The sequence below is a fragment of the Homo sapiens genome, chromosome 2 (assembly GCF_000001405.40).
Source record: "Homo sapiens chromosome 2, GRCh38.p14 Primary Assembly".
Lineage (NCBI taxonomy): Eukaryota > Metazoa > Chordata > Mammalia > Primates > Hominidae > Homo > Homo sapiens.
In genome coordinates, this window is record NC_000002.12 from 84,530,063 (window position 1) to 84,556,880 (window position 26,818).

General features: G+C 36.3%; 1 protein-coding gene across 13 annotated transcripts in view; it reads left to right on the forward strand.

Annotated features, from left to right (window-relative positions):
• DNAH6 (dynein axonemal heavy chain 6) overlaps positions 1–26,818 on the forward strand; it is a 360,018-nt gene that overhangs the window by 70,491 nt on the left and 262,709 nt on the right. For 10 of the 13 annotated variants that reach the window (XM_011532650.4, XM_011532649.3, XM_006711956.3 and 7 more), the window contains 6 exons: positions 14,171–14,438; positions 17,206–17,340; positions 17,430–17,550; positions 18,226–18,355; positions 19,827–19,995; positions 22,856–22,972. In XM_011532650.4, the coding sequence (XP_011530952.1) occupies positions 14,171–14,438; positions 17,206–17,340; positions 17,430–17,550; positions 18,226–18,355; positions 19,827–19,995; positions 22,856–22,972 (940 nt within the window). The remainder of the gene's footprint in view (positions 1–14,170; positions 14,439–17,205; positions 17,341–17,429; positions 17,551–18,225; positions 18,356–19,826; positions 19,996–22,855; positions 22,973–26,818) is intronic. The other 3 variants (XM_047443589.1, XM_011532657.1, XM_011532655.2) reach the window with 2 other exon arrangements.

The window sequence follows — 26,818 nt, forward strand, 5'->3', positions numbered from 1 at the left end:
GCAAAATTTATTGAGCATGATCTCTGTAGCAGGAACTGTTTTACGTGCTTGAGACACATTAGTAAACCATCCATATCAAAATTGTTGCCCTCATGGAACTGACATTTTAGCAGAGGATGGCAATAATAAACCAGACATGAGTAAATTATGCAGAATACTAAAATGTGATAAGTATTGGAGGAAAAAAATAGAGGCAAAGAGGATTAGGAGTGCTGGGGAAGAGGTTGTGAATTAACTGGGGTGGTCAGAGTGGGCCTCATTGAGAAGCTGTCATTTGAACAAGGACTTGAAAGAGAATAAATGAATTATGTGGTGGTGCAGTTATGAGCATTCCAGGCAGCAGGAAAATGAATACAAACATCCTGAACTGGGAGCAGACCTGGCATGCTCAAAGGGCAAAGAGGAGGCTGGTGTGACTACAGTAGAGTGAACAAGAGATAAAGGATATATCGTGCAAGACCTTGTTGGCTACAACAATGGAGAACCATGGAAGGATTTTGGGCAGAAAAGTGTCACGATCTGATTTACATTTTTTAAGGAAACATTCTGGCTGCTGTGTGAAGAATAGGCTTTGAGGCAACAAGGGTTGAAACAGGAAGACAAATTGAAGGCCGTAGTTACTCAGGGGAGAAAGGGACTGGGGATGATGATGAAGTGGTAAGAAATAGGTCTGCTTCTGAAAACAATTTGAAGGTGAAGCCAACGGAATGTCTTTACAGACATTGTGTAGGGTAGACAACCAGAAAGGAGTACAGGATGAGTTTAATGATCCAGTTGTCTGAGCAAGAGGGGTAGAGTTGCTATTGACTGTGAACCCTGAAAATCTGAGACAGTTCTCAGTTAATTTAGAAAGCTTATTTTGCCAAGATCATGGAGGCACGCCCATGACACAGCCTCAGGAGGTCCTGATGACATGTGCCCAAGGTAGTACGGGCACAGCTTGGCTTTATACATTTTAGGAAGACACGAGACATCAATTAATATGTGTAAGATGTACATGGGTTCAGTCTGGAGAAGTGGGAAAACTCAAGGCCAAGATGGAAAAACTCAAAGCGAGGAGGGGGCTTCCAGGTCATAGGTAGATGAGAGACATTCCTTTGAGTTTCTGATTAGCCTTTCCAAATGAGGCAATGAGATATGCATTTATCCCAGTGAGCACAGGGGTCACTTTGAATAGAATGGGAGGCAGGTTTGCCATTAGCAGTTCCCAGCTTGACATTTACCTTTCGTTTAGTGATTTGGGGGCCTCAAGATTTATTTTCCTTTTTTTTTTTATTTTTTATTTTTTTTTATTTTTTTTTTTTTTGAGACGGAGTCTCGCTCTGTCGCCCAGGCTGGAGTGCAGTGGCGCGATCTCGGCTCACTGCAAGCTCCGCCTCCCGGGTTCACGCCATTCTCCTGCCTCAGCCTCCCGAGTAGCTGGGACTACAGGCGCCCGCTACCACGCCCGGCTAATTTTTTGTATTTTTAGTAGAGACGGGGTTTCACCGTGTTAGCCAGGATGGTCTCGATCTCCTGACCTCGTGATCCGCCCGCCTCGGCCTCCCTTATTTTCCTTTTACAACTGAGACATAGAAGACTGAATGGAGCAGAATCATCAGGGAAAAATACATGTTTGGGTTCGGATACATTAATTTTGGGATGTCAAAAGGAGAAGAGATGGTAGACGAAGGAGAATTGGGGTAAAAAAAGAGGATTTTTCCAACATGAGAGAATTCATTTTTTTAAGATGGAAGAATTAACATATAATGTAATTTAAAGCCCTTCAATTAAAAAAAACCCTTAATAATATTGTCATTCCTACCACTACTTTACTCGCTTGTATAGTTCTTTGTAAGTTTTTGGTGAAGAACTTGTAGATCTTAAGTGGAAACTGATGGAAAGTGGGTTATTTGGTGATTTTAAAACATAATTCTTGATTCATATGTGAAAATGTTTTCATAGTTTTCTCTTCAGGAAAAAAATAATCATCTAATAACCCAGATATCAAAGAGTACTATTTGTGATGCTCATTTTCCACTGTGAGAAGAGCCAGATTTTGCCCCATGTAGAACTGATTCTCATCTATTTACCAGCACAATATAAAGTATTGAAGAGGAGACTGAAAACTGCTTTTGTTCAGTTCTGGAGATTTATTTCTAGACTAATGAGCACTTCTACTAGGGAAATTGAGTTGATGTTTTATACTTTTTTGGACTCACAGAAGTGACGCTTAATAGTAATATGTAAGTTCTCATTTAAAAAGATATTTTGGAATCATGGTTTGTTATCATTATTGCAGTTTAGGGTTTGATGTTGAATCTTCCTCCCTAACTTGAACTCCAAATATCATAAACCTTGTGAGTAAAGACAATTATTTGGATGCTATGGAGTTGGCAGCAGCTAAACTGGAAGTTAAACATAGTATATACTGTGTCAACAAGATGAGGTCATGTTATTACCAAACTCCTTTTAAAAGTAATGTGATAAAATAACTGTAAGGCTGTGAGTTTGCTGTTGAAGAATGTCTTCACTACCCAACAAATGTGGTGAAGCTGTGGAAGGATTTTTTTATAATCTTTCAATCTAGAGCAATAATCTATCTCTCTGATAAGCCTATTGAATTTTTCCAGAAAAAATACGTGAGCAAAATGCAAAATAATGCTTCTCAGTATAGAACTGAATAAAGGTGAAATTGAGATCTAAACTATGGAAATCATTTAAAGTTGCACTTCTTATAGCAAAAAACTTTTAAAAATGATATGTCATGCTATTGATGAAGCACCTATGGCAAGGTATGCTTAGAGAGAAAATAGAATAAGTTATAAGTTATTTGCAAAATTCCCTTATTAACTAACTCTATGCACATCATTATAAAGTGTGCTGACAGGTATTTTGCTTTAATCACAAATGTGCAATGCAGATATCAGTGTTTGCTGTATATACAGTACACGTATGAGAAAAATATGCTTGACAATTTTTTTTCCAATTGTCACTAAAAACCTATAGAAGAGTTTTTTCATTTAGTTGTGAGCAGGGATTTAGACTGCAAAAGGCATGTAGGAATCAGTAGTGTCTGAGCACTTAGCTGTGTGTGCAGCAAGAAAGGCTTTGCCCTGCTCAGAGACAACATTCACATCCAACAGTAAACCTCATTTTTTGACTTAGCATTGACAGAGAGTGAAAATTGTGGATCTCCTCAAATCAAGGATACTAACTGTGCACTTTTCCATGGTCATACAGTGAAATAACAAGTAAAAGATTTTATTTCAATCATGAAATATGCAGGAAATGAAGAGTAAGATTTAGAACATTTTGTGAAACTAATATTACTAATAAAGACCATTTCTATGATTTTAGGGGGCTTGCTCAAGGGTCATGTCTTAGAGATATGTTCAATATTTTGAGTAGACAGCGTTATCACTTTGGTGCCAAAATACTTTGAAGATAAGAATACAATATTGGAATTTTAGGCTGACTGAATTATAGTGTATATGGCGAATGTACCTTAGGACGGATTTGGCTCTTTCCAGCATCTTATGATTTTACTAGTTGGAGGAAAATAATTGATCATGTATTAGTGGGCATATCTATCCAAAAATCATATTTAAACTCAAAAACCTGAGGAGATAACTTTTCAATCCAAATTTAACCAAAGAGCTGATAAGAATTTGTTTACTTCCATTTTCTAAATTGAAACACTCAGCCTTGCAGCTTTATAGCATAATGTACTTATTGGCTTACCATCTGATTCAGTGCTAAAAGCAGACTCCAGTGAAATGATCAAGAAATTCTGGATCCATAGATTGTCTAGAGGTCCAGAACTATGTGACAGAAGTTCTAGTTACATGGTCTCATTTCCAAAAACTAAGGTTGTTATTGAAGATCTTTTAATTTTTTTTAAAAATTACAATGGGGAAAAGGAGCTAGCTGTGTGTGAACCCTCATCTGTGGCTCACACTACCCATCATTCAGATGGCTAAAGAGAACCTTCTTATTAATTTTTTAAAATTATGACATATTTATTATTTTAAAATTTGCAATGAGACCTTCACAAAATTTACATAACACTGATGGTCTGAGTGAGTATCAAATGCCCAGTCAGTGGTTCCAGATGCTAAATGTTTAACACAGCTATAAGGCAAAGCTTCCCAAGGAGTGTACTGCAGCCAAGCAAGTGACTCCCAGTGTGCCCTAGTTGTTTATGGTGGTAAAAACTTATTTTTTAAAAAAAAACACAATCGCTCAGAAATTTACCATGGGTGAAATTTTCTTTTTCTAATATTTGTATGGTTACCTTGTCAAACTTCCTGAATTCAGAAAATATTTCCGTGGGTAAGACTGTGTAGTCCCCGCTGCCAGAGAGCAGCTCTATAGTGGGAACACAACACAGCCTCTGCCACCTTCCTGTTGAACCATCCCACTGAGTTTGATTGTTACTGTAAACACTTCCTTTAGGTTTCTAAGACAAACTCAGTTTATCAGCAAAACTCTTTGTTTTGTGTATGTGAGAAACACAAAGAAATCCTTGTTCAGTTTTTTTTTAATTTCATTTGCTCTTTTTTTGTGTGTTTTCCTTTTGACACAATATTAGGTGTTCCTAAAAAAATAAGCAACAAGATGTTTCTGATTATTTTTTCTATCCCTTCTTTCCTCTTTTCCTCTTGTTTGGTTTTTGATGTTACCAACTGGGAAAAATCTGAATTTTAATTGAATTTCATAATTAATTGTTTTTAAAACTTAAAAAATAATTTTTCAAAGCTTAATTTTCAAATTCAACTTGGGAAATGTAATGTTTAAAATGGTTCTCATGATTTTTTAGACACTGTTGTGGGTTTGAACCTAAAGAAAGATTATTAAGTCAAATAGAATAACAGATTTAGCATTAGAAATAACATTTCTTTATTAGAAAACATATTCTAATAAAATTATCTTGGTAAAGAGCACTGTAGGCTTTCGTAATTTTCAAAGGTCTTTTTGATCCTATATGAGTGTAATTAATGTTTATTTTTTTAATTTTATAATTTTACTTCTTAAATTAATGAAACCTATATACCAATACTTTATATTTTCTTACCACATCCTTGAGTTTTTAAAAAATTTTAAATCATTTGCTGATATTAAGGTCTACAATTCTCTTGAATACTTCATGGTAATATGGATTTAATTTTGACATTTATTTATCTTTTTGCTCATTTATAAGGAAAATTTTCTGTTAAAGCTAGAAAACTATCAGATCTATATGGCAAACACAGAAGTCAAAAGAGATGAGAAATTAGGCAGCATAATTAGGATTATCTCAAACTTAGATTTGTAAACTACAGTAATAGACCTGTCCTTTTGCCTAAATATCTTATTTGTATAAAAATGTTATCAAATTAACCAGTGGTGTCAAACAAGTTATTTCAACACCTTTTCAGAGATATCCACCCCACCCAGAAAAGGGTTTGAGCTTTTAAAAGCATTACAAGAACAAAATATGAAACAAATTTCTGTTTTTAGATTAGTATCAGATAAAGAAGCTCAAGAAGCTAGGAGTGCAAGAACACATAATATCTAACATCAGAATGAATCACTATTGTAGAATTGTGATTTTACCAGCTTGTGTGGAAGTTTTTTATACTACTTGGAACCAGAAAAGCAAAAAAAAAAAAAAATCAGTAACATCATTAGTAGACCAACATATTAGATGATATAGATGATCATAATCCAAGACATTATTAAAGTTTTATTGCAATATTTAATTGCATATTGATGAATCTGTAGACATTAGTAACTGCTAGACAACAGCACTATTTAGAGTCTCTGAGGTGAAATGTCTGGAAGAACTTTGTTTAGGAAGAAGAAAAAAGAACTCTCTGGGGATTAAATATTCAAGGCAAATGAGGTATTATGAAAATACTTCTTAAAAATGTTTGTTACAACCAAGGTTTACTCTGATAGCACTGGTATTCAAGTAATATGTTATTTGCAGAGGGACTTCCATATGTAAATGGTTTCCTAAAATTATGAATTACAAATTTAAAAATATTGTCAAAATGATGTCCATGATAAAATCCAAGCTATCAACCACATAACCATTTGTTTTTAGCTTTCTACAAAAAACTGAGAACAAATACTATTTTTCGTTGTTTCATAGTTAAGTGCATTGGCAATCCAAAGGATGAGTTTTATCAAGAATTGGGAAGTATTTTGCAAATGATCCAACTTTGCAGATTTAGTAAAGGTTAGTTCTTAGTTACACACCTGGGTTACTTAATTGACATTTGACCACCTGAATAGCTTAACTGAAAAATTACGGCAGCTGCCAGGAAATATATTAACACTTACTGACAAAGATTAGGAATCGACAGCAAAAATTCAACTTGGGAAACGTAATGTTTAAAATGGTTCTCATGATTTTTTAGACGCTGCTGTGGATTTGAACCTAAAGAAAGATTATTAAGTCAAATAGAATAACTTCTGTGTTTGAGAGAAATCTTCACCATTGTTTCTAAAATCATTACAAGAAATGTCAACACTGCATCAAAGAAAGACAAGTAACAACTGTTAGAGTTAAAGAGTGGTGGTACCTTTGGTGAATAATTTCAAGAGAACAAGGTATCCAAATTTTGACTAGTCGAAAAGGGAGTTTTCATCTGTCAGAGACAAAACAATAAATAAATCATCTTCTGCCATTTGCTGCCTGCTACTTTTACAAAGTTTCTTAGGAGTGGTGACTTCAAGAACTTGGACAGATCATTCATCATGTCTTGATTAGACATGATGTAGCTACTTCAAAAAAGTTATGGTCACAGCTGTGGTTGCTTATGAGCTAGACATAATTGGAAGTTTTATCAAATATTATATCCCTAATTTGGGATAATTATGTCCCAAATTAAAAATTATATAATCTCACATATTATGTGCATTGTGTTTTGTCATATTATATAAAGAAATTGTAATTAATGTCTTCACCAAGCCCCTGCAGTTTATATCAGTGTGCCTTATAAAATGTTATTATTGCATGGGTTTTATAACATTCAAAGTTTGAGAAGCATTGTGCTAGAGGATTGTAGAATGATTTTCTCCTGCATAAGAATCTGACCTTTGGCTAATCCTGCAGCTGTGTACCCTCAATAACCTAAAAAACGTAAAATATTGTTTATAGGCAACATTGCTTATGATAAAAATGACATCAATTAGTAAATTATAGCTGCATTAGGAGGAACTAAGAAATAATTATAAATACCTTATGGGGAGTCATAGCTTTTGACTTCCCATAGTTCAGATTCTTTTTTTCTGAGCATGTGCCCTGTAGGAATGCTGAAATCTATGCTTATGGGGTTATTGCAAGAGATGCTGGCTCCTGTGAGTAATAAGGCTTTTAGGCCAGAGTGGCTTTCATATGCACTCAATGTGGATCTCATCTTTTTGCATCTGAGTTGACACCTAGGGAGAAGATAGCTCCCAGGTGGCTATTAGACTGCTGCAAGGACTCCAATGGGAAAGTAATGTCTGATGCTGCCCTGAAGGCAATAAGTGGTTCCGGGTTTTTCTGAGTAGATGGATGCCAAATAGAAGTATATGAAAGTCTTGTGAGTTTTAACATTTAGTTGTATCTAAGAAGACCCCTGGTGAGGCAATTTTTAAGTATTCCTTTTTCAGGTTGGTATAAAAGGACCCACTGTTGATATTAAAAAGTTCTCTCCCTAGTAGATGGTAGGTGTTTTTCATATCTACGTAACCCTTCACCTCACCATTATTTCAATTATATAAATTCACATTTTGCTGTTTTTTGTTTTGGCCATTGAAATATAAACTTGCTCACACTGATAAGGAACTGTGGGTGCTTTTATAAGGCATAGTGGGGTACTAAGTCTTTGTGATGTTAATGGGTGAGTACTGCAACATGATAGTATTAACACCAACTATAGTATATGCCAAATCTTGTTCTAAATGTTTTATATGTATTAGCTCATTTAATCTCCACAGCAACTCTTTAAGGTAGGTAGGATTGATATACCCATTTTACAAATGATGAAAGTCACAGAATTAAGTTCACATAGCTAGTGAGTCATGGAGCTGAGATTCAGATTATTTGGATTTTAGAACCCAAGTCCTCATGCACGCCACTTAATATACTCATCCTCATAATGACAACTACTCCTGCATTTGTGTCACACACACTGTGTTAGGCATTGTGCCAAGTGCTTTCTGTACATTAATCTTCTTTCTTCCTCATAAACATCCCATTAGAATGGCATTATATGTAGTGGAAAGATAAGAAAATTGAGGTATAGATTAAAGACTTTTCTATTTGATATTGTTTTGTGATTTGCAGTAGGAAATTCAGAATAATGTCTGATGCTCCCATCTTTCAATTCTATGATTTCATTCTCTGTGCAATGTCAAGTTTAAAGCTATTAAAATCTAACAGATAGTTCAGATTGTATGGCGGAGCCTTCCCCCAAATCTGAGCATCTTTTGGGTCCACAGAATGCCATGAAACAGGACACCATGTCTCCTATACCTCAGTGTTTCCCTATGTGTCTTTCCAAGAACATTAGACCTAAATGATTCTCATTGATAGATGGTTAACAGATGTGTTCTGTGATCATGTAAATTTGAGAAACTTTGTTAAGTCAGTAGTTAGGATTAGGATTCCAATTAGAATCTTTGAAACACAGGTACATGACTTGGGATATTAGAACTATATCAACTTCTACTTTAAGCTTAGGACATGTTCCTTCTAAACAACTAATTTTGGTCTCTGGTTGTTTCTAAACTTGTTAAAAGTACTTTTTAGGCAGCTTTTAAAATCTCACACTAAAGCTCTTTTATCCTTTAAATTATATTACTATTTAGTGGCCAAGAACAGAAAACACAGATGCCAGCTTGAAACCTTCTGAAGTAGAGGCATTCTAGTTTATGTGTGAAGTTATAATTATTTTTAAAAAAACTTTAGAATTAGGTATATATATTATGCAATAAGGAACAGATCATTTTGAAGCCATATTATCAAAAAAACCTCACCAGGTTGTCTAACACAGTGGCAGTTTTCTTAGGCTAATCTACGAAGAAATTTAAATCTATTAAGTCAAATTTGAGTCAGCAAGTGGAAACACTATGGGCCGTTTGGATTTTCATTTGGAATAATCAAAAACCCTCCTTCTGGTTAATCAAACCAGAAATAAAACAAGCATTTCTCTTCCCTGGTTTACATTAGATCTATTTTTTCCCAATACAGTTAGATCTAGACTCCAGATTGTCTCCCTACCCTTCCTTCAAACACATGCACACACAAACATACATGCACACACATCCTGGCACTGCTCTGGAGCTATGGTGATTTAGTGGATGATGGTTTCATTTCATACAAAAATCTGAAGAAACTAGAGCAGTAGCTCTTAGCCTTAGCTGCTCATTAGAATCACCCAGGCTCTACTTCCAGTTAATTATGATTTATCTGATCAGTCTGTGGTGGAGCCTGAGCAACAGCTTTTCTTTAAAACTTACCAGTTGATTCTAAGATTCAATTAGAGTTATGCATCATGGACCTACAGCAGCATTTCTCAAGCCCTAAAAGACTTGCTAAAACACAGATGGTTAAACCCCTAGATGATTTAACAGGCCTAGGGTGGAGCCCGAGAATGTGCAATTCCCACATTGTGCTCATGCTGCTCTTCCAAGGACCATACATTGAGAAACATTGACCATAGAGCACTCTCCTGGTGATGAAACTTGGAAGTTTCCTCTTAGTTTTGCTTTTGTTTAATTTTCCAGGTAAAAAAAGAGTTCTTTACCAGATATTTTGCCATCTTTGGTTAATCAAACCAGAAGTAAAGCAAGCACTTCTCTTCCCCAGGTTAGGTTAGATCTAGTCTCATATTGAGTCATGGCAAGGACCATCATCAAACAGATTGAGGTTGATAAATGCAGAACTCAGGAAGTGGCCTATTTCTTCCCAAGCACTTGCTTGCTTACCTTTATTCAATGAATACACCCAAATCATAATACTTTAAAACCATGTAATAATGAAAATAGACCACTTAGAGTTGTATAGGGCCACAAGAGCTTATCTAATTCAGCCTTAAAGCAGGTAAGGAATAACTCTCTTTCTTGTAGATATCAGAAATTTGAAAGAAGCAGGAGGTAACAGGGAACAAAGACAGATGTATGCATTCAAGCATGGCCTAAAATGAATATGATGAAGAAATCAGCCTGATTGAAGAGGATGATTTGTGTTGACAGAGAAGGAACTAATGTGAAACAGGAAGAGAGTGCCACAAATACCTGGGAGAATAACTTGGATTTAATGACAGGAGCAATAAGAGGCTATTCAAGGTTCTTGAGCACAACAGTCACATGAGGCAAACTATGTTTCTGCAATATTAGTCTGGTAGATTGGTTTAAGGATGAATAGAAGCATTTTCAATCACTGCAGTGTATAACAGATTGAACTGCTATTTGAAATAACATCACATTGAGGTTTTATTGTTTTGGAAGTCAATGAATTGATTTCAGGAGGAGAAAAAATTTTTTAAACCCCAGAGGGGTTCTAAGCCCCAAAGTAGGTTCACTTTGAGTTATATCTGAAATGACTAATAATAATAGGACAATGATTGACCTACCACAAGGGCCCCAAAATTCTCTCAGTTCATGTGGTTATCTCAAATGGGACACACATACTTTTAGAAGTTAATAGAAGTCTTGAAGTCTAAGTTTCATTTAAGATGGATACAGACAGGTTCTACTGTAAAATAATTTGACAAGGGACCCCTTGATCTTCATTGAACAGCAAGAAAGCACTACATATATTTTTTGCAAGTATGAGACAGTACAGCATAGTTAAATATAATTTTATTTGAGACTTCCATCTCAATCTAATGAGTTAACTATCCAAGGATCTCTAGTTAACTAGATCCTAAAGTCATCTTCTTTATCTGAAATGTAGGAATTTTATAACACAGCAGTTGAATTTTTAAAAAGTTTTCTTTTTGTTTCTTAAAGGAAGCCTACTTTTTCTGATTATCTCCTCAAAGAAAGGCCTTAGTGGAACAAACATCCAAAACCACTCTCTAGGAGGCAGCTGAAGTTTGATCCTGAGTGCTAAGAAATGCCGAGGGAGCAGTCATCATCATAGGAGTCGTGGTTCAACTCCTGAAATGGATAAACACTTGGAGGCAGAGCATTTAGAGCAAAACACACCAGTCCAAGGAGTAGATCTGGGGGATGACCTCTCAGTAATGAACTGGAAAGTCTAAGAATAGGATTACAGAGAAATGTACATACACTGTCTTTTAAGCAAATCTTTTCCTCACCCTGCGGCCCCTTCTACCTACCGACTGGATTGGGCTTGAGGGAAGTCCTGTTGATCTTTGGAAAAATAATTCCATTAAAGTAACAGGAAACAAAACCGTTTTTCTGGAACTCTAAGAAGGAATGGATAAGGTGGATGTGGCCATTGACACACACCATTATAAAGGAAACTTAAAAGAAGAAGAAAAGTGTGGGATTTTAGTTAAGTAGGTGGCAGGGTCAAGAAAAGATTTTCTATGTGCTAAAGGGACATTCTGCACACTTTTAGATGTGGAGGAAAAGAAACCAAAAAACTAGGGAGAGTTAGAGAAAAGTGAGGTGAAACCTCTCCATCTCCATTTGGAGGAAAGCATGAGAGAAACAATCAGGGGGAAAAAACATGGTATGTTGAACTTCAAGTGAAGATGTGAGAGGGAGCTTGCCTTGTCTTCACATTTTTTTTGTTATTTGCTTTGAAATAAAGTTTGGTGGTTCACAAACATTATTGTGTATCGCAATCACCCAGGCATCTCACTATCCTTGAGTCTTGGAATACATAAAGATTCTCATTCTGCGATGGACTCAGAAATCTAGATTCTTAATAAGCACCCCGGATGATTTTGATGCTGATGATCCAACCTTTGAAAGGGCTCTCGTGTGTTCAGTTGTTCAATGAACAGTACAGATGTGTAAAGAAGGAAAAGACTTGGGGGCTTGAGAATGAAGTTCTGCGATAAGAAGAGAAATACAAATAAAAGGAATTCCTAAGTGGCACTGAGCACCAAGTTAGAATTCAACATCATGGACCACAGCTACCATCTTCTAGAAGGGCCATCAGTAGCAGATAGATCACACAGAGCAAGTTTTCCAGACATGCACCAGGGCCGTGGTCAGCAATTTGTTCTTGTTTTTAGGTTGCTTTGATGCCTGATGTTAATGAAACATCTGAAGTTTGTTATAATTTCAGTGGCAAATTGAAGTTTTACATTTTAGAGAGAATCACCCCAAGAATACCCTAATTATATCTTTAGCTATTGACAACGAGAAAAGGAAAGACATGTAAAATGTATTCCATATTCCTCACCAGCCCTGTGCAATACCTGGCATTTTTCCAGACATTTCTGGGGTGAGTTAATTAGAACACAGACAAAAAGTCAGATAGTGGTATCAGGTAAAAGCCGAGCAGGTTGAAGCTTTTCCATGGCAGCCCTGAAGTTGGAGGGACTATTCCTCTCCCACTTCGCACAGCACCATCAGCCCCCCACATCTCCTTGCAGGCTCACATGAACAGCTGTTGGTTTGGGTTTGCTTTCATTCTGGTCCCGTGTGCCATAATTTTAAAAATATTTTTGTTACTCAGTTTTATTAAAATGAAAATAGAAATTAAAAACTAAAAATGATTTATACCAGTGGTTCTTAACTTCTTTTAACAGACCCAAAACATAGAATTTTGTTCCAATGTCTTAAAAACTTATCGTACATATATACATGAATTTTCCATACAACATTTTCAGGGATTTCATGAATAACTTGAAGGCTGTGTTAAAGGGCTGTGGCCCGGACATGGTGGCTCACGCTTTTAATCCCAACACTTTGGGAGTCTGAGGCAGGGAGATCACTTGAGGTTAGCAGTTCGAGACCAGCCTGGTCAACATGGTGAAACCCTATCTCTACTAAAAATAGAAAAATTAGCCGGGCATAGTGGCAGGCGCCTGTAATCCCACTTACTCCAGAGGCTGAGGCAGGAGAATCTCTTGAACCCGGGAGGCGGAGGTTGCAGTGAGCCAAGTTTGCACGGCTGCATTCCATCCTGGGCAACAGAGCGAGACTCCCTCTCAAAGATAATCATAATAATAGTAGTAATAGTAATAATAAATAAAATAAAGGACCATGGACTCCAGGTTCAGAATGTAGAGCCAAGGACTGAAAGCCGTGGAAAATAGCTGATTTTCACTGGAGTGTTCCTAATTTCTGCCTAGTACATGTAAGTTTTGCATAGTTTTAACATAGAAACAATTTAAGGCTTTGTTTTTGCCCTTAACCTTCATCTTGTTTTACTAAGCTCTCCTAACAGAGAGAAACATTTTAGAAAAATGTTATTTTCCTAAATTCCTAAATATATTTCAATAAGGTGCTATATCATATTTCACACTTGTTCTATTACTGAATATTTCTTGCATTCAATATTTCAGCATTATAGCTAAAATTACAGAGAATATCGTTTTGCTGTAGGAAAAATTTTATTTTAAGCAGTTTTAGAGAATCGGCCCTATTTTCATTGCTTCATTTCTTTCTCCTGTCCTTTCTTCTGTTTTTACTCTGTTCTTGCTTCTTTTCTTTACTTGATCAGTTTTCTGTTAATCATACAGTTGAAGAATGTCCATGACAACAGTTGAAAGAGAGATATTATGAACTAAACAATTTATCAATAATAAATATTTTGTTGGTGATAAATTGGGCATATAATATTGGTCTTGATTCTTATCTCACCTAATTAATGTTTCCTTTTATCTTTCTCATAATTCTGTCATTACTTAATAGTGCCAAATTCTTTTATGCTATTAATATTGAATAGTTTCTGAAGAGTTAATAATAGCTCCAGATAGTTTTAATGTAGAACTATTAAATTTTATTAATTTATAGTCAATTCATTTTAATGTAAAAATCATGTAACTGAAATCATCAAGCCAATATTGCCACAGTTGTGAAATCTTTTTAATAAGCACAACTTGTTTAACTCATTTTCTTGAGTAATGTATTTAATGTGAAAGTAGTTGGTTAGAATTTTTTAACTTTAAATAATATTTGCTTTCCAGAAATGTTTTATCTCTGTAGAATAAAAAAGCAATGCAATTGCTTCATTTTGTATTGAATACTTTATTTATTAGTCCCAATTTTTATTTGTTTATAGAGTTGTAAGTTATGAGAACATCAATAAAAATGACTACTATACTATTAGCCAAAGGGCAGTAACACACATTTATAATGAAGACATTGAATTTATCGAAATTGATCGATGGGAACAGGAATATCTGTATCACAGAGAACTCACTAAGATTCCCATATTTTCACTGTTCCGGAAATGGAAGGCTTTTAGTGTATGGAGGAAGAATGTCCGCTCCAAGAAAATCACTGGATGTCAAAAATCTCTACAAAAAAATTTGTTCATTGTTAATCCTGTATGTATTTATCATTTATATTTTAAAATAATTACTTACAAAAAAAGAAAGTGTGAATCTATTAAGCTGTTGGTATAGACTGTTCTTGAAATCAAATATTTTATATTCTTAAGAGAATTCCCAGTTTTCATCCTGTCTTGTCATTTAGGAGTCTAGCAATCTAGGGGTGTTTCTACATTTTAACTAGGGTTGCAAAATGCAAAAGTATAAGAAGAGAGTTGCACAGGTCCCTTTTGATTAGAAGTCACCTCAGAGTTTTTGGATTTGTGATCCCCTTTGTTGTTGATTAGGAAAGTTATATGTCATTTTGAGCAGAGTAGGCTGGTAGCCTCTATTACCTCCCCTCATCTTTGAGACACTCTAGATTTTATAGTCCAAAATAAGTCAGGGCCTTGTTTTCATGGGTCAGTACCTCCTAATATATCATATATTTCCTTTACAATGGATTTATACAGTAGGAAAATTTTTAATATTTACTTTGGACAACAGGGTGATCATGAAAACAAAACTGTGAAAAAGTGTGACCATATTTATAATTTCTATCTATTGAATTTCAACTTGCATTGGAAGTTTCCTACTTGGCCCCTAGGAATAAACTGCAATCATCATTACTGTCACACTCAGAGTTCTGGTCCTCAGCTGTCTTATTTCTATGACACTATCTCAAGTTTGCTTTTTACTAGTCATTTCCTTCACTTTGCATATGATAATATGAAAGACTGTTATCAACATGCCAGTCACACAATAGGGAAACATTCAAGGTCTCTGGCTAACATAAATATTAGTACAAGACAAATATATAAGAGGGACTATCTCAAGTCATCCATTCCATTGTGCATTCTGAGTTGTGAAAAAATATTCCAGTCCTTCTTGACATGAAACTCAAATTTCATTAAGGATACATCAGTCATTTGAAGTTATTTTACCATCTTTCATCTTTTACCATGTCTTGAACACTACATATATCATACATTTGTTGCTAGGTATGTAAAATAGTTCATTCTTGATTTGTCTTTGAAATTACTTCTATCAGTCCTCGAGGCATGTTCTCTTATTTTATGTGCTGACAGTTTTCATTCTGTGTCCATCATTCATACCAGTGGTGTTGCGGCCTTTATAGTATCTTCTCTTAAATTTAGTCCCAGCAGACTAGAAAGCTCTCATCCTTTTAAGCAAGGATTGGCCTAAATAACAGACTCATTGCAGTCGTTTAAATATGTATTAAATGCTATAATCACCCACACACTTACCACTAGTCTTATATTTATAATTAGTTAACTAGGGCTGATTCCCCTAGACAAGGTTGAAGGGAGACATACGAGTTGTCCTCGTTTTCTTTTTATGATTTTTTTTAAAATAACCAATTTTGTTGGCACCCGTGCCTATGTCATTCCCTTATAACAGTTTTGATATATAATTTACATACCATACAATTCACACATCTGAAGTACACAATTCAATTATTTTTAGTATATTCACAGAATTGATCCACCATTACCACAGTCAATTTTAGAATATATGCATCGCTCCAAAGAAAACCTCATTACCCATTAGTGGTCACTCTCTATTTCTTTCTGACCTACCTGTCCCTTCCCCCAACTATAGGCAACCACTAATCTACTTTCTATCTCCATAGAGTGGCCTGTTCTGTACATTTCACACATGGAATCATACAATACACTTGGCTCTCAGTGTCTTGGGGAACTGGTTCCAGGACCACCCCAGCAAATACCAAAATCCACGGATGCTCAAGTCCCTTATATAAAATGGCACAGTATTTGCATATAACCTACAAAAATCCTCCTATATACTTTGTCATCTCTAAATTACTTTTAATACCTAATACAATGTAAATGCTATGTAAATAGTTGTTATACTATATTGTTTAGAAAATAATGACCCAAAAAGTCTATTCATCTTTAATATGGACACAAGCATTGTCGACCCTACTAAATTTTTAATCTACAGTTGGTGGAATCCATGACTCTGGAACCCGAGGATACAGAAGGACTGTATGTGGTCCTTTATGACTGACTTTTGTTTATTTAACTAATGTTTTCAAGGTTCTTCTTCTATGTTGTAGCATAGCATTTTTAAAAGTTGGCAAATTATGTTGGATATGCCTATTTTATTTGTCCATCTATTGATGGATATTTGGATTGCTTCCACTTTTTATCTATTATGAATAATGCTGCTATGAGCATGCATGTACAAGTTTTTGTCTAGACATGTGTTTTCATTTTTCTTTGGCACATACCTAGGAGTGGAATTGCTGGGTCATTAGCAACTTTACGTTTAACCTTTTGAGAAAACATGAAGCAGTTTTCCAAAGCAACTTGTTACCCAATAACAATTTAATGTTAAATTTGGCTTTCTTCTGTGTCCCAGCCTCTTAAATTAATAGATGGGCCTTTCCATTATCATTATGACCGGACATTGTAAAGTACTTAAGGTAACACCCAGTTTTCTATTACTTGCCCTCAGTTCCTTAAATCACTTGCCTTATTCCTTAAATAGCTGGAAGACATGTATGTGTTTTCAAAATCAAAAGAAAGGAATTCAGACAAATTATATCTGATAATTCAAGGAGTACTTTTAGAAAAGAGTTATAAAAGTGATCTTTTAACATATGCATTTTGTAGTTGTAGCAAAAGTTAACACACAGAGGTGTTTATTATCCTTAATAACTATTCTTGCTTTTTGAATGTTCTATACTTTTAAAATACAGAATATTTTTACTAAATAATAAATTCCTATTTTCATTCAGCATTTGCGACCAGCTCTTCTTAAAATAAATGAATTGTGTTATCATTTGAGTTTTATGGGACTTTGTTATATTGAAAAGTGTCACACCTACACCCTGCAGGAATTTAAGGCCGCACAAGTCATACGGCTAGCAGAGGTAACAAATTTTGTCTATAAGAATCAAAGCTTTTTTCCCTATTTTTGATACTTCAGTATCACTAACTGTACATATTCAACAATATCTAGGTGACAGAACGCCTAGGAGAATTTCGAAATGAGGCAAAATATGTAGTCAGGAGGGCTTGTCGATTTGCTTTGCGTGCTGCAGGATTTGTTCCTGATGACTGTGCATTTGGACCTTTTGAGGGTATGAAGGGGAAAGAACCTCAATATATCAGAAGTGGTGGCTTTCTAAAATTTCAGCCCTTTTTTATTTGACTTTTCTTAAGTTTAAATAATGATTCTATGTTTGAATTGTTCCAAACATTTGATGGATATTATAAATTTAATGTATTTTGTGGAAGGGAGGGAAATAGAAAATACTGCATGTTTCTCCCATTACTCCTGTTTGTATATAGTATTTCTAAACTGGATACAGAATCTTGATTAATAAGCACTTTAGAGTGGACTCAGCATCTCTCTGCTTAAAGATATGTCCAGCCTACTAGCACAGACAATAGGTTTGTTAAAATTAAGGAACTGGATTGACCTTAGGATTGACTCAGTTAGCATGTACTATAAAGGTTGACTAAATTGTAGGTAGAAAAGGAGGGTAAAGATGTTCCTAGGAAAGAGGTAGCATAATATACAGATCAAATCCTGTTAATGAGAATGTCAGTAAACTATCTATAATCTTGTTGAATTGAAATCCTTTGATGTAAACTTATTTTGGATAATTGGGCTGTTTTTCAGGTTTGAATTGCTTCGTGTACCAAAATATTTTGTTGTTTTTGAATTTTGTTTATCTTTTCTTTGAATCATATTGAAAGAGATGGAACTTTTACACAAGTACACTTGTTGTTGTTCCTTCTGTTATTCTTAGATTATCATAAAGTGCAGAGCAGTGGAAGTTTCATTAATACACCACATGAGTTGCCCACTTATGGAGACTCTGAGAAAATGACATATACAGAACAGGCCAGCAAAAGGCATTATTGCATGAGGCTGACGTGGTAAGATTATTCTCATTTTCAAGAAAAATTGTAGTACCCATCTTAAGCTGCATTAAAAATTAAACCCCAGAAAGTGATGACTATGTTAATTTGCATAACTGAAGTAATCATATCACTATGTATATCAAAGCATCATGTTGTATACCTTAAGTACACACAATAAAAAATTAAAATGAAAAGTAGAATCTTTTCTAGGACCTAAGTGATGTCTCACTTGAAAAAAAAAATGGAACCCTTCACCACATTGTTCATGAATGGTGATGAGAAATTTGTGGGACATGGTAACCTGAATGCATGGCCCAGAAGACCCCCTTTTCAAACTGCCACCAACCAAAGCAGCTCTGGGACTGTGAGCTGGTAGAGACAGAGCATGAGGCCAAGGCCAAGAGCTCCTCTTTGATCTCTCTGGCTTTGTTTCCTTCTGGCCCAGCCTGGGCATGGAGACTCGCAGTACAGCAGACTGTGGCAGGGAGAAATCAGGCACACAGATTTATGGACCTCCTCAAGTGGGCCTGAAGGACTTGCTCCATCTTTTTGGTCACAGAAGAACTATAGGCAGCTGCATAACATCACAAAGGTGCACCCAATCCCTAAAATGGGATTTGCCACTGGGAGCCAGAGAGAGAAATATCCCTCCTAGGACCTCACCAGGGGACTCTCATTAGCACTAGCTCTGACACCTGCTTACCCAACTGGATCTTGACCTTGACTGTTCCAGAATTTGGATTTCCCATCATTCTAAAACCGCATGTCTTTGGAACTATAAAATACTGATTATTGTTATTCAGTGCTCACTGACTTAATCCAACTTTTGCAATTATGTAATACATCTTAACTATATCTCAGTTTATATATGAAAATGTCTGTGTAGCAACAGAAATCAGTGAAGCGGTCTCTGAGGCTACCATAGTGGACCTAGAAGTATTAGAGGCCTTAGAGCTCCACTTGAGCAGAATAGTACTATTCTAAATGTCTTGCTGACTCAGTCTGCATTCTAAGTAAGCACTCAAGTAAGGAAACGTAAAATTCAAACCTTTGGGTTAGCAATTGCCATCAACATTTATTCAATAGCAAAGATTTTACACTTTTACTATTAGAATGCAAGTTACAGATGTTGTATGCATCGATTTCTCCTTTAAAGCATCTTTTAAAAAATATTATGGCCCTTTTAGCTAGATAAACTAGATGCATTTTCCCTAACAGCTATATCACTCATTAAATATTCTATTGAAAAGTTAGAATATCTAACTGAATTAATGCTACATATTTGAATATATTTGTGTTTTAAAAGGAAGAATATCTAAGGACAACTCTTCTGGACAGTACATTTCTGATATTGTAATATAATTAAATGGAAATTCAAGGAGAAATTATGATATTTTACATTTTAAATATTTGCTTTAGAGACACTGTCAAAAATATGTAGTGAATATAAGAAACCGAAATTGTATTAGTTTTTTTTCTTTTCAAGCTTTATTCGTCTAAACGACTATCTAATTGAGAACACAATGCACATCTTAACGGTAAATGCTGTTAATTCGCTTTTGAACCATCTCACTGACAAGCTAAAACGAACACCTTCAGCAGATGTCATTCAGAAATGGATTACTGAAGAGAAGCCTGAAGTCCCTGATAAAAAGGTATACTCACACAAAATTAAGAATATTTTATTGGTCAGCATTTATTGAGGAGTGCAAACTACGCTCTATGAATTATGCTATTTTCTGTGCACTAAAAAAAAAAGAGAAATGCATAGAGCAGCGGCCCCCAACATTTTGGACACCAGAGACCAGTTTCATGGAAGATAATTTTTTCTGCAGACTGTGGGGGATGATTTCGGGATGAAACTGTTCCACCTCAGATCATCAGGCATTAGTTAGAGTCTCATAAGGAGCATGCAACCTAGATCCCTCACATGCACAGTTCACAGTACGGTTTGGGCTCCTATGAGAATCTAATGACGCCACTGTTCTGAGGGGAGGCAGAAGTCAGGCAGTAATGCTCACCCTCTGCTCACCTCCTGCTGTGCAGCCTGGATCAGTACCTGGTCCAAGGCCCGGGGACTGGGGACCCCTGGCATAGAGTATTTCATGTTATAATCAAAGCCTACAATACACATGAAATGGCAGACTGAAAATCAGCATATCAACAAGTATCTAATAATAGAGTAAAAATCCACCATACTGAGAGAAAGTTCCTGTCACAGGAACTTGCTAAAGCTTGCTCATGTGTTCATTGACATATTTCTTAAGTATCTACTGTGTGCCAGTTCCTGTGCTGGATGTCGAATATATAGTGATGAAAAGCATAGATAGGATCTTTGTCCCCAAAAGCTTATAGTTCGTGGGGACATAAATGCTCCTTGTGGGCATAAACTGGCAGAGAGAAGCAGGAAAAGTGGTATAAATAAAAGAGATAAACAATAGTTTAGAGGTGAAAAGAAGCAAATTATTGTGCTTTGAGGGGATGGCCTTTTATGAGGATGTTGATCTTAAAGACACAGAGTACTATGAGATGTTTGGATGAAGTAGTACAAATTCGTGCATTCCAGCATAGCTAAAAGAAAGATCATATTATCTCATATTCAAATTTCCCAGTAAGTTTTGCCCTAGCTCCATCCTTAGTACTAATAGCTTCTTTCCAGAATACCTACATGCTCACCTCATTTCATCAAACCTCCCACCCTCACAGCTTAAATCTCCCACTCCACAGAAAGCTAATTATGCAATACACAACCTGATGCTCTCAGCCTGAGTTTCCCTTTCTTCCAAAAGTTAAATCATGTCATGAACTCCTTTTCATAGCTTTCTCTTCTCCCCTATTCTGAATTTCTCCTTTTTATAAATAGTATCAAAATTTTAAAAGTCACATTTATTTTTCTATTCTAAAAGTAATTTATGCTAAGTGTACAAAATTAGGAAAACACAGAAATATACAAAGAAAAGCACCTTTGCTACCCAAAGATAATTACTTCAAAGGGGAAAAAAGATATTATACTTTCCTTACTGCTTTATCCCTTGCTTTTTCCTCTTAGCAATACAGTATTATGAAATATTTCCAATGTCAATGTATATTTTTCCATGTGATATTCTCACAAAGAAATGTATAATTCTTGTAAATAATTTTCTATTATTGATCACATTCCCACTATTTCAAATAATACTGCAAAGGGTATCCTTGTCTATACATTTTTCACACATTTCAGATTTTTCCCCTTAGAAAAAAATTCCTAGATGTGGAATTGAGTCAGAAATATGCACATTTTTAAGGCTTTTGATACGTACACACTGACGTATACTCTCCAGAAAGCTTTGTCAGTTTACAGCAATGTTTAAGAATGAGCATTTAGGCCAGGCGTGGTGACTCATGTTTGTAATCCCAGCACTTTGGGAGGCCAAGGCGGGTGGATCACCTGAGGTGAGGAGTTCGAGACCAGCCTGGCCAACTTGGTGAAACGCCATCTCTACCAAAAATACAAAAATTAGCCAGGCATGGTGGTGGGTGCCTATAATCCCAGCTACTCAGGAAGCTGAGGCAGGGGAATTGCTTCAACCCAGGAGATGGAGGTTGCAGTGAGCTGAGATCGCGCCATTGCACTCCAGCCTAGGCAACAAGAGTGAAACTCCGTCTCAAAAAAAAAAAAAAAAAAAGAATGCTCAAATGATCATTTACCCACATGCATACTAAATATTACCATTCGTTTTAATCTGTGTCGGTAATACACAAGGTGGTATATCACTGCTTTCAAATGTTGTATTCTTCTAATTATGACCCCAGGGCAGGAAGCAGGGCATGGATCTAGGAATCAGAAATATCTGGGTTGAATTCTGGTCTGCCGCCTACTAGCTAGTATGATCTGGATGAAACATTCTACCTTCTGCAAATCCCATTTTCACCCTATGGGAACAATAATGGAACCTATTTAAGAAGGTTGGTGTGGAAATTACACAAATACCCAGCACTATGCCTGGCACACAGTAAACTCTCTGCAAATGTCGTTACTGAATAAACTATTTTAAGGAAGAGAAGAATAAGGAGGTGAATTCATCATTTGTATTTTGCTTTCAAGAATTCTCAGATTATGCCCTTTGCCCATTTTTTTACTTAAGTATATTTGTATTTGAATATATTTCTATGTAAAGATTCATTAATATATTATTGGCATATATTCCTATTAAGTATATCAACTATAGTTCTATTCAAATATTATCAACTTTCTATCTTCTATATACATTATTGATATGTCTTCCCAGTTTGTTTGCCTTTCCATTTTGTTGGTAGTATTTTTACAAGGAGAGAAGGTTTACATTGTTATGTAGTCTTTCAATATTTGCCTTTTTTTCTTTCTGTTCTTTATTATTCTCTGAAACACTTTCCACATGCCAAGATAATGAATTCAGCTAATTATATAAACTTCAGTTTACATGTCCCTTGTTTTTTTATTTTGTTTTAGACCTTGATACTTGTGTCTTTATAACACTGTACATATATTCATTTCAGGGGACCCTTATGGTGGAAAAGCAAGAAGAAGATGAATCTCTCATCCCCATGTTTCTCACAGAACTAATGTTGACAGTCCAGTCACTGCTCTTTGAGCCTTCTCTGGAAGACTTTCTGGTGTGTGTTTTTCATGTATTATCCACATGCAAGCACCTATTTGGAAAATGAAGCAGCTGTTTTGCTGTCAATTGGTTGTCAGAATTGCAGTTGTCACCACTCCAAGATGATCATGAGAAAGAGAGAAAGCATTGTTTTGTCACAGCATTATAGCTATATATAAACTATCTAAAAGTTTAGCACATTATCTTTAACTTGAGTCAGATTAGAGGCTTGGTAAGGTACAGAAAAACATTCTATACAAAATTTAAAAGTGTCTATAGGGATCCCTTTAAGGACAACTGAAGAGATCACTTGTGAATACCTTTTCCTTTCTTTTCTTTTCTTTTCTTTTCTTTCTTTCTTTCTTTCTTTCTTTCTTTCTTTCTTTCTTTCTTTCTTTCTTTCTTTCTTTCTTTCTTTTTCTCTTTCTCTCTCTCTTTCTTTCTTTTCTTTCTTTTTTTTTTGAAACAGGGATTCACTCTGTCACCCGGGCTGGAATGCAATGATGTGATCTTAGCTCACTGCAGCCTCAACCTCCAAGGCTCAAGCAATCCTCTCACCTCAGCCTCCTGAGTAGCTGGGACTACAGGTGTATGCCACCAGGACTGGCTATTTTTTTTTTTTTTTTTTTTTTGTAGAGATGCGGCTTTGCCATGGTGGCCAGGCAGGTCTTGAACTCCTGGGCTCAAGTGATCCACCTGCCTCTGCCTCCCAAAGTGCTGGCATTACAGGTGTGAACCACCATGCCCAGCCTGTAAATACCATTTGTGAAATCTTTTTAAAGGTATGCTGGAACTGAGAGAATTTTGTTGTCTTAGTTATCCATAGCGGTGTAACAAGTTACCACAAAGTTAGCAGTTGGAAACATCCTCCATGAATCATCTCAGTTTCTGTAGGTCAGGAGCTTCACTGGCTACTCAGATTATCGTCTGTTTCAAAGTCTTGGTCTCCCTCAGGCTGCTGGAAGAATTCAGCTCTAAGCAACTGTAGGACTGAGATCCCCATTTCCTTGAGGGGTGTCAGCCAAGGACCACCCTACTTAGGTCCGAGAAACCATCTGTAGTTCCTTGCCATGTGGCCCACTCTCTAGGCAGTTTACAATATGGCCATTCACTTCTTCAAGGGCAGATGGACCACTCTCTTAGGAAGGGCTCAATCCCTCTTTTAAGGGCTTTCACTTGATTCAGTCACATCTATCAAGGATAATCACTTTTGACTAACTCGAAAACAACTGAGTTGGGACCCTGCAATATCCCCCTACCTTTGCTGCATCACGTAACCTAATCATGGGACTGGCATCCCATCATATTCACAATTCCCACCCATACTCAAGAGGAGGGGATTGAACAGCATATGTACACAGGGGCAGGAATTTTGGGGGTCATCTTAGAATTCTGCCTACTACATTTGCATAGGTGCATAGGTTAGTAAACCAGTCAATGTCTGTATCTTCTGTTGTTAGCTGCTGTACTCTGATTCAAAAGCACTAGTAATCAGGATCTCTAGATTTTAGTCCTGCCTTTACAATTAATAAGCTATTTGACTTTAGGAAAACCGCTTCTGGGGTTCAGTTTCTGTGTTTATATGATGAGAAGGCATATGAGTTCTAGCATTGATTCCTCCTCCACAGTGTATGATTCTGTAATTTATGGGATAGGCAATTTGAAGGCATTTACAATGACAAGCAGACTACTGAGGTCCCTGTGATTGGAAGCTCGCTTAGGAGCTCTCATGCCAAGAGGCACTGGGCTCTCATGTCCCCTCCTGGCCACAAGACTCATGTCCTTCACATGGGATGCAGGTGTCCCAGACTGCAGATGACAAAAGGAGGCTCTGTCACAAGCAGCTTGCTGTCCTTTACCCCCAAGGGGTGGGCCTCAAAAAACTGGATACCCTTCTCATTTCCTATTATAGGACCCTGTTCCCCACATGGGTATTTTTAACTTCTACACATGAAACATACATGGTCAAGCTCTGGGAATAATTAGCATGCTTGTCTATTCATACCAAAATAAGATTTTATTTCATATAACCCAAAATCAGCCAATAGAAGTATAAATAGGACTATCATTCATAAATTTTCTATTTTTTCGCTATTATTTTAGTCATTAGCCTTAATCATTCCCAATGATTCCAAGCACACATACACATAGAGATTAATCTAAAGGAAAATTATATACTTAAGTCATGATTTCTTACTTTGCTCTTGCTTAGGTTACCTATCGTTTCCTAATACTTGATTCAATATATACTTTTGAATTCTAATATTTCTTGGTGTGTGAGACAAACCTCCATTGCATTTGAGTCTGTTTACTGCTTCTGCCTCTTGAAATAGACTCCTCCTTTGGTTTAATTGAAATAGACTCCTCCTCTGGTTTCTATTTCTGTAGCAACATTTTTTCCTTCTCAGTCATCTTTCCAAGAGCCTCTTTTTTATCTGATCCTTGATTCTTGCTATCCTTAAGGGCTCTCTCCTCTTCACACCCTACAGTTCTTTCTGGGTGCTTTTTTCTGTGCCAAGGATGCAGACGTAAACATATATTTATATCTATATCTACCTATCTATATCTCTACCTATATCTATATGTCTCTATCTATAGATCCAATACTTTTCTTTTAAGCCCCACTCATGGTCATCTGGAAATCTTCACCTGAACGTCCCACCAATATGAATTGAACTTATCGATTTCTTCGAAAACTTGCTCCTCCCTCCCTGTCTCCATCTCAATGAAAGGTGCCCAAGACAGCAATCTGAGAGTTCTCCTAGATGCCCAGATGCCCAAGCCAGCAATCTGGGAGTTCCCCTAGAGTCTCCCTTACCTCCTTGAGATCAGATCATCAGCTCTTGTGTGCTGAGCCATGGTTGCACCCACTCTGCCACTCCTCTCCATCGGGACCTCATCATCTCTCTTCTGGCCTCCTGAAATAGTCTGCTCTGATCTGCCTGCCTCTCTCCCTTCTAGTCCATTTTCCACATTACTGACAGCAAGATTATTCTCATAAGCAAATCTAATCATGTCCCTTTCCTGCTTAAAATTTCTCCATTGCCTGTAGTAGCATCTTTCACAAGATGTTCTGTGAGTTGTTGATAAGCATTCCAGGAGAAAGGGGGTTGTGATATACATTTGTATATTAACAGATAGAAAAAATCCTGTTTAGCAGGTCCTGAGAAAATTCCTGTTCAACTTCATGTAACTCAAGATTTCTTCTCAAATTTACCTTGGAAGTTGGGACCCTTTATCCTCTGGGTAGTACCCGGTCACAGTTTGGGTATTGCTGGCCTATGGGCTAACACTGGCATCATGCACAAGGCCTTTCATGAAGGGGCTGACTGCATCTGCAGAGTATCCTATTTCTGCACTGTAGCGCTGATGCTCCAGTACCTAAATGACTCACCTGCCTGCCCCCTTGGGCCCCACACACAATGACTTAGCAAGGATTATACTGTTGTCTGATATACTCGACAAGCTCCTCTTCATCTTTTGAGACTCATTTAAAGACTTACCTTTTCTTTATCTCATTTTCTCTAATTAGACTTTATATTTATTATAAATTACAAACTGATTCATGCTGATTGAAGAGACTTTGAAAAACACAGGAAAAGATTATTAAAATAATCCATAATATTATGTACCAAAAATGAAAACCCATTAACATTTTTATATGCTTCTGTCCAGTCTTGTTTTAGTGCATACTGATATGCTGACATACCTAACTTACCATGAGGTTATGTACAGAGATAGATATAGATACATGTTTACATTGAGATATTATATGCCAGTTTTATATCCTGCTCACTCTCTTTTATTCGAACTTAACATTATATCATAAGCTTTTTCTCATGTCATTAAATGATTTTTGGGA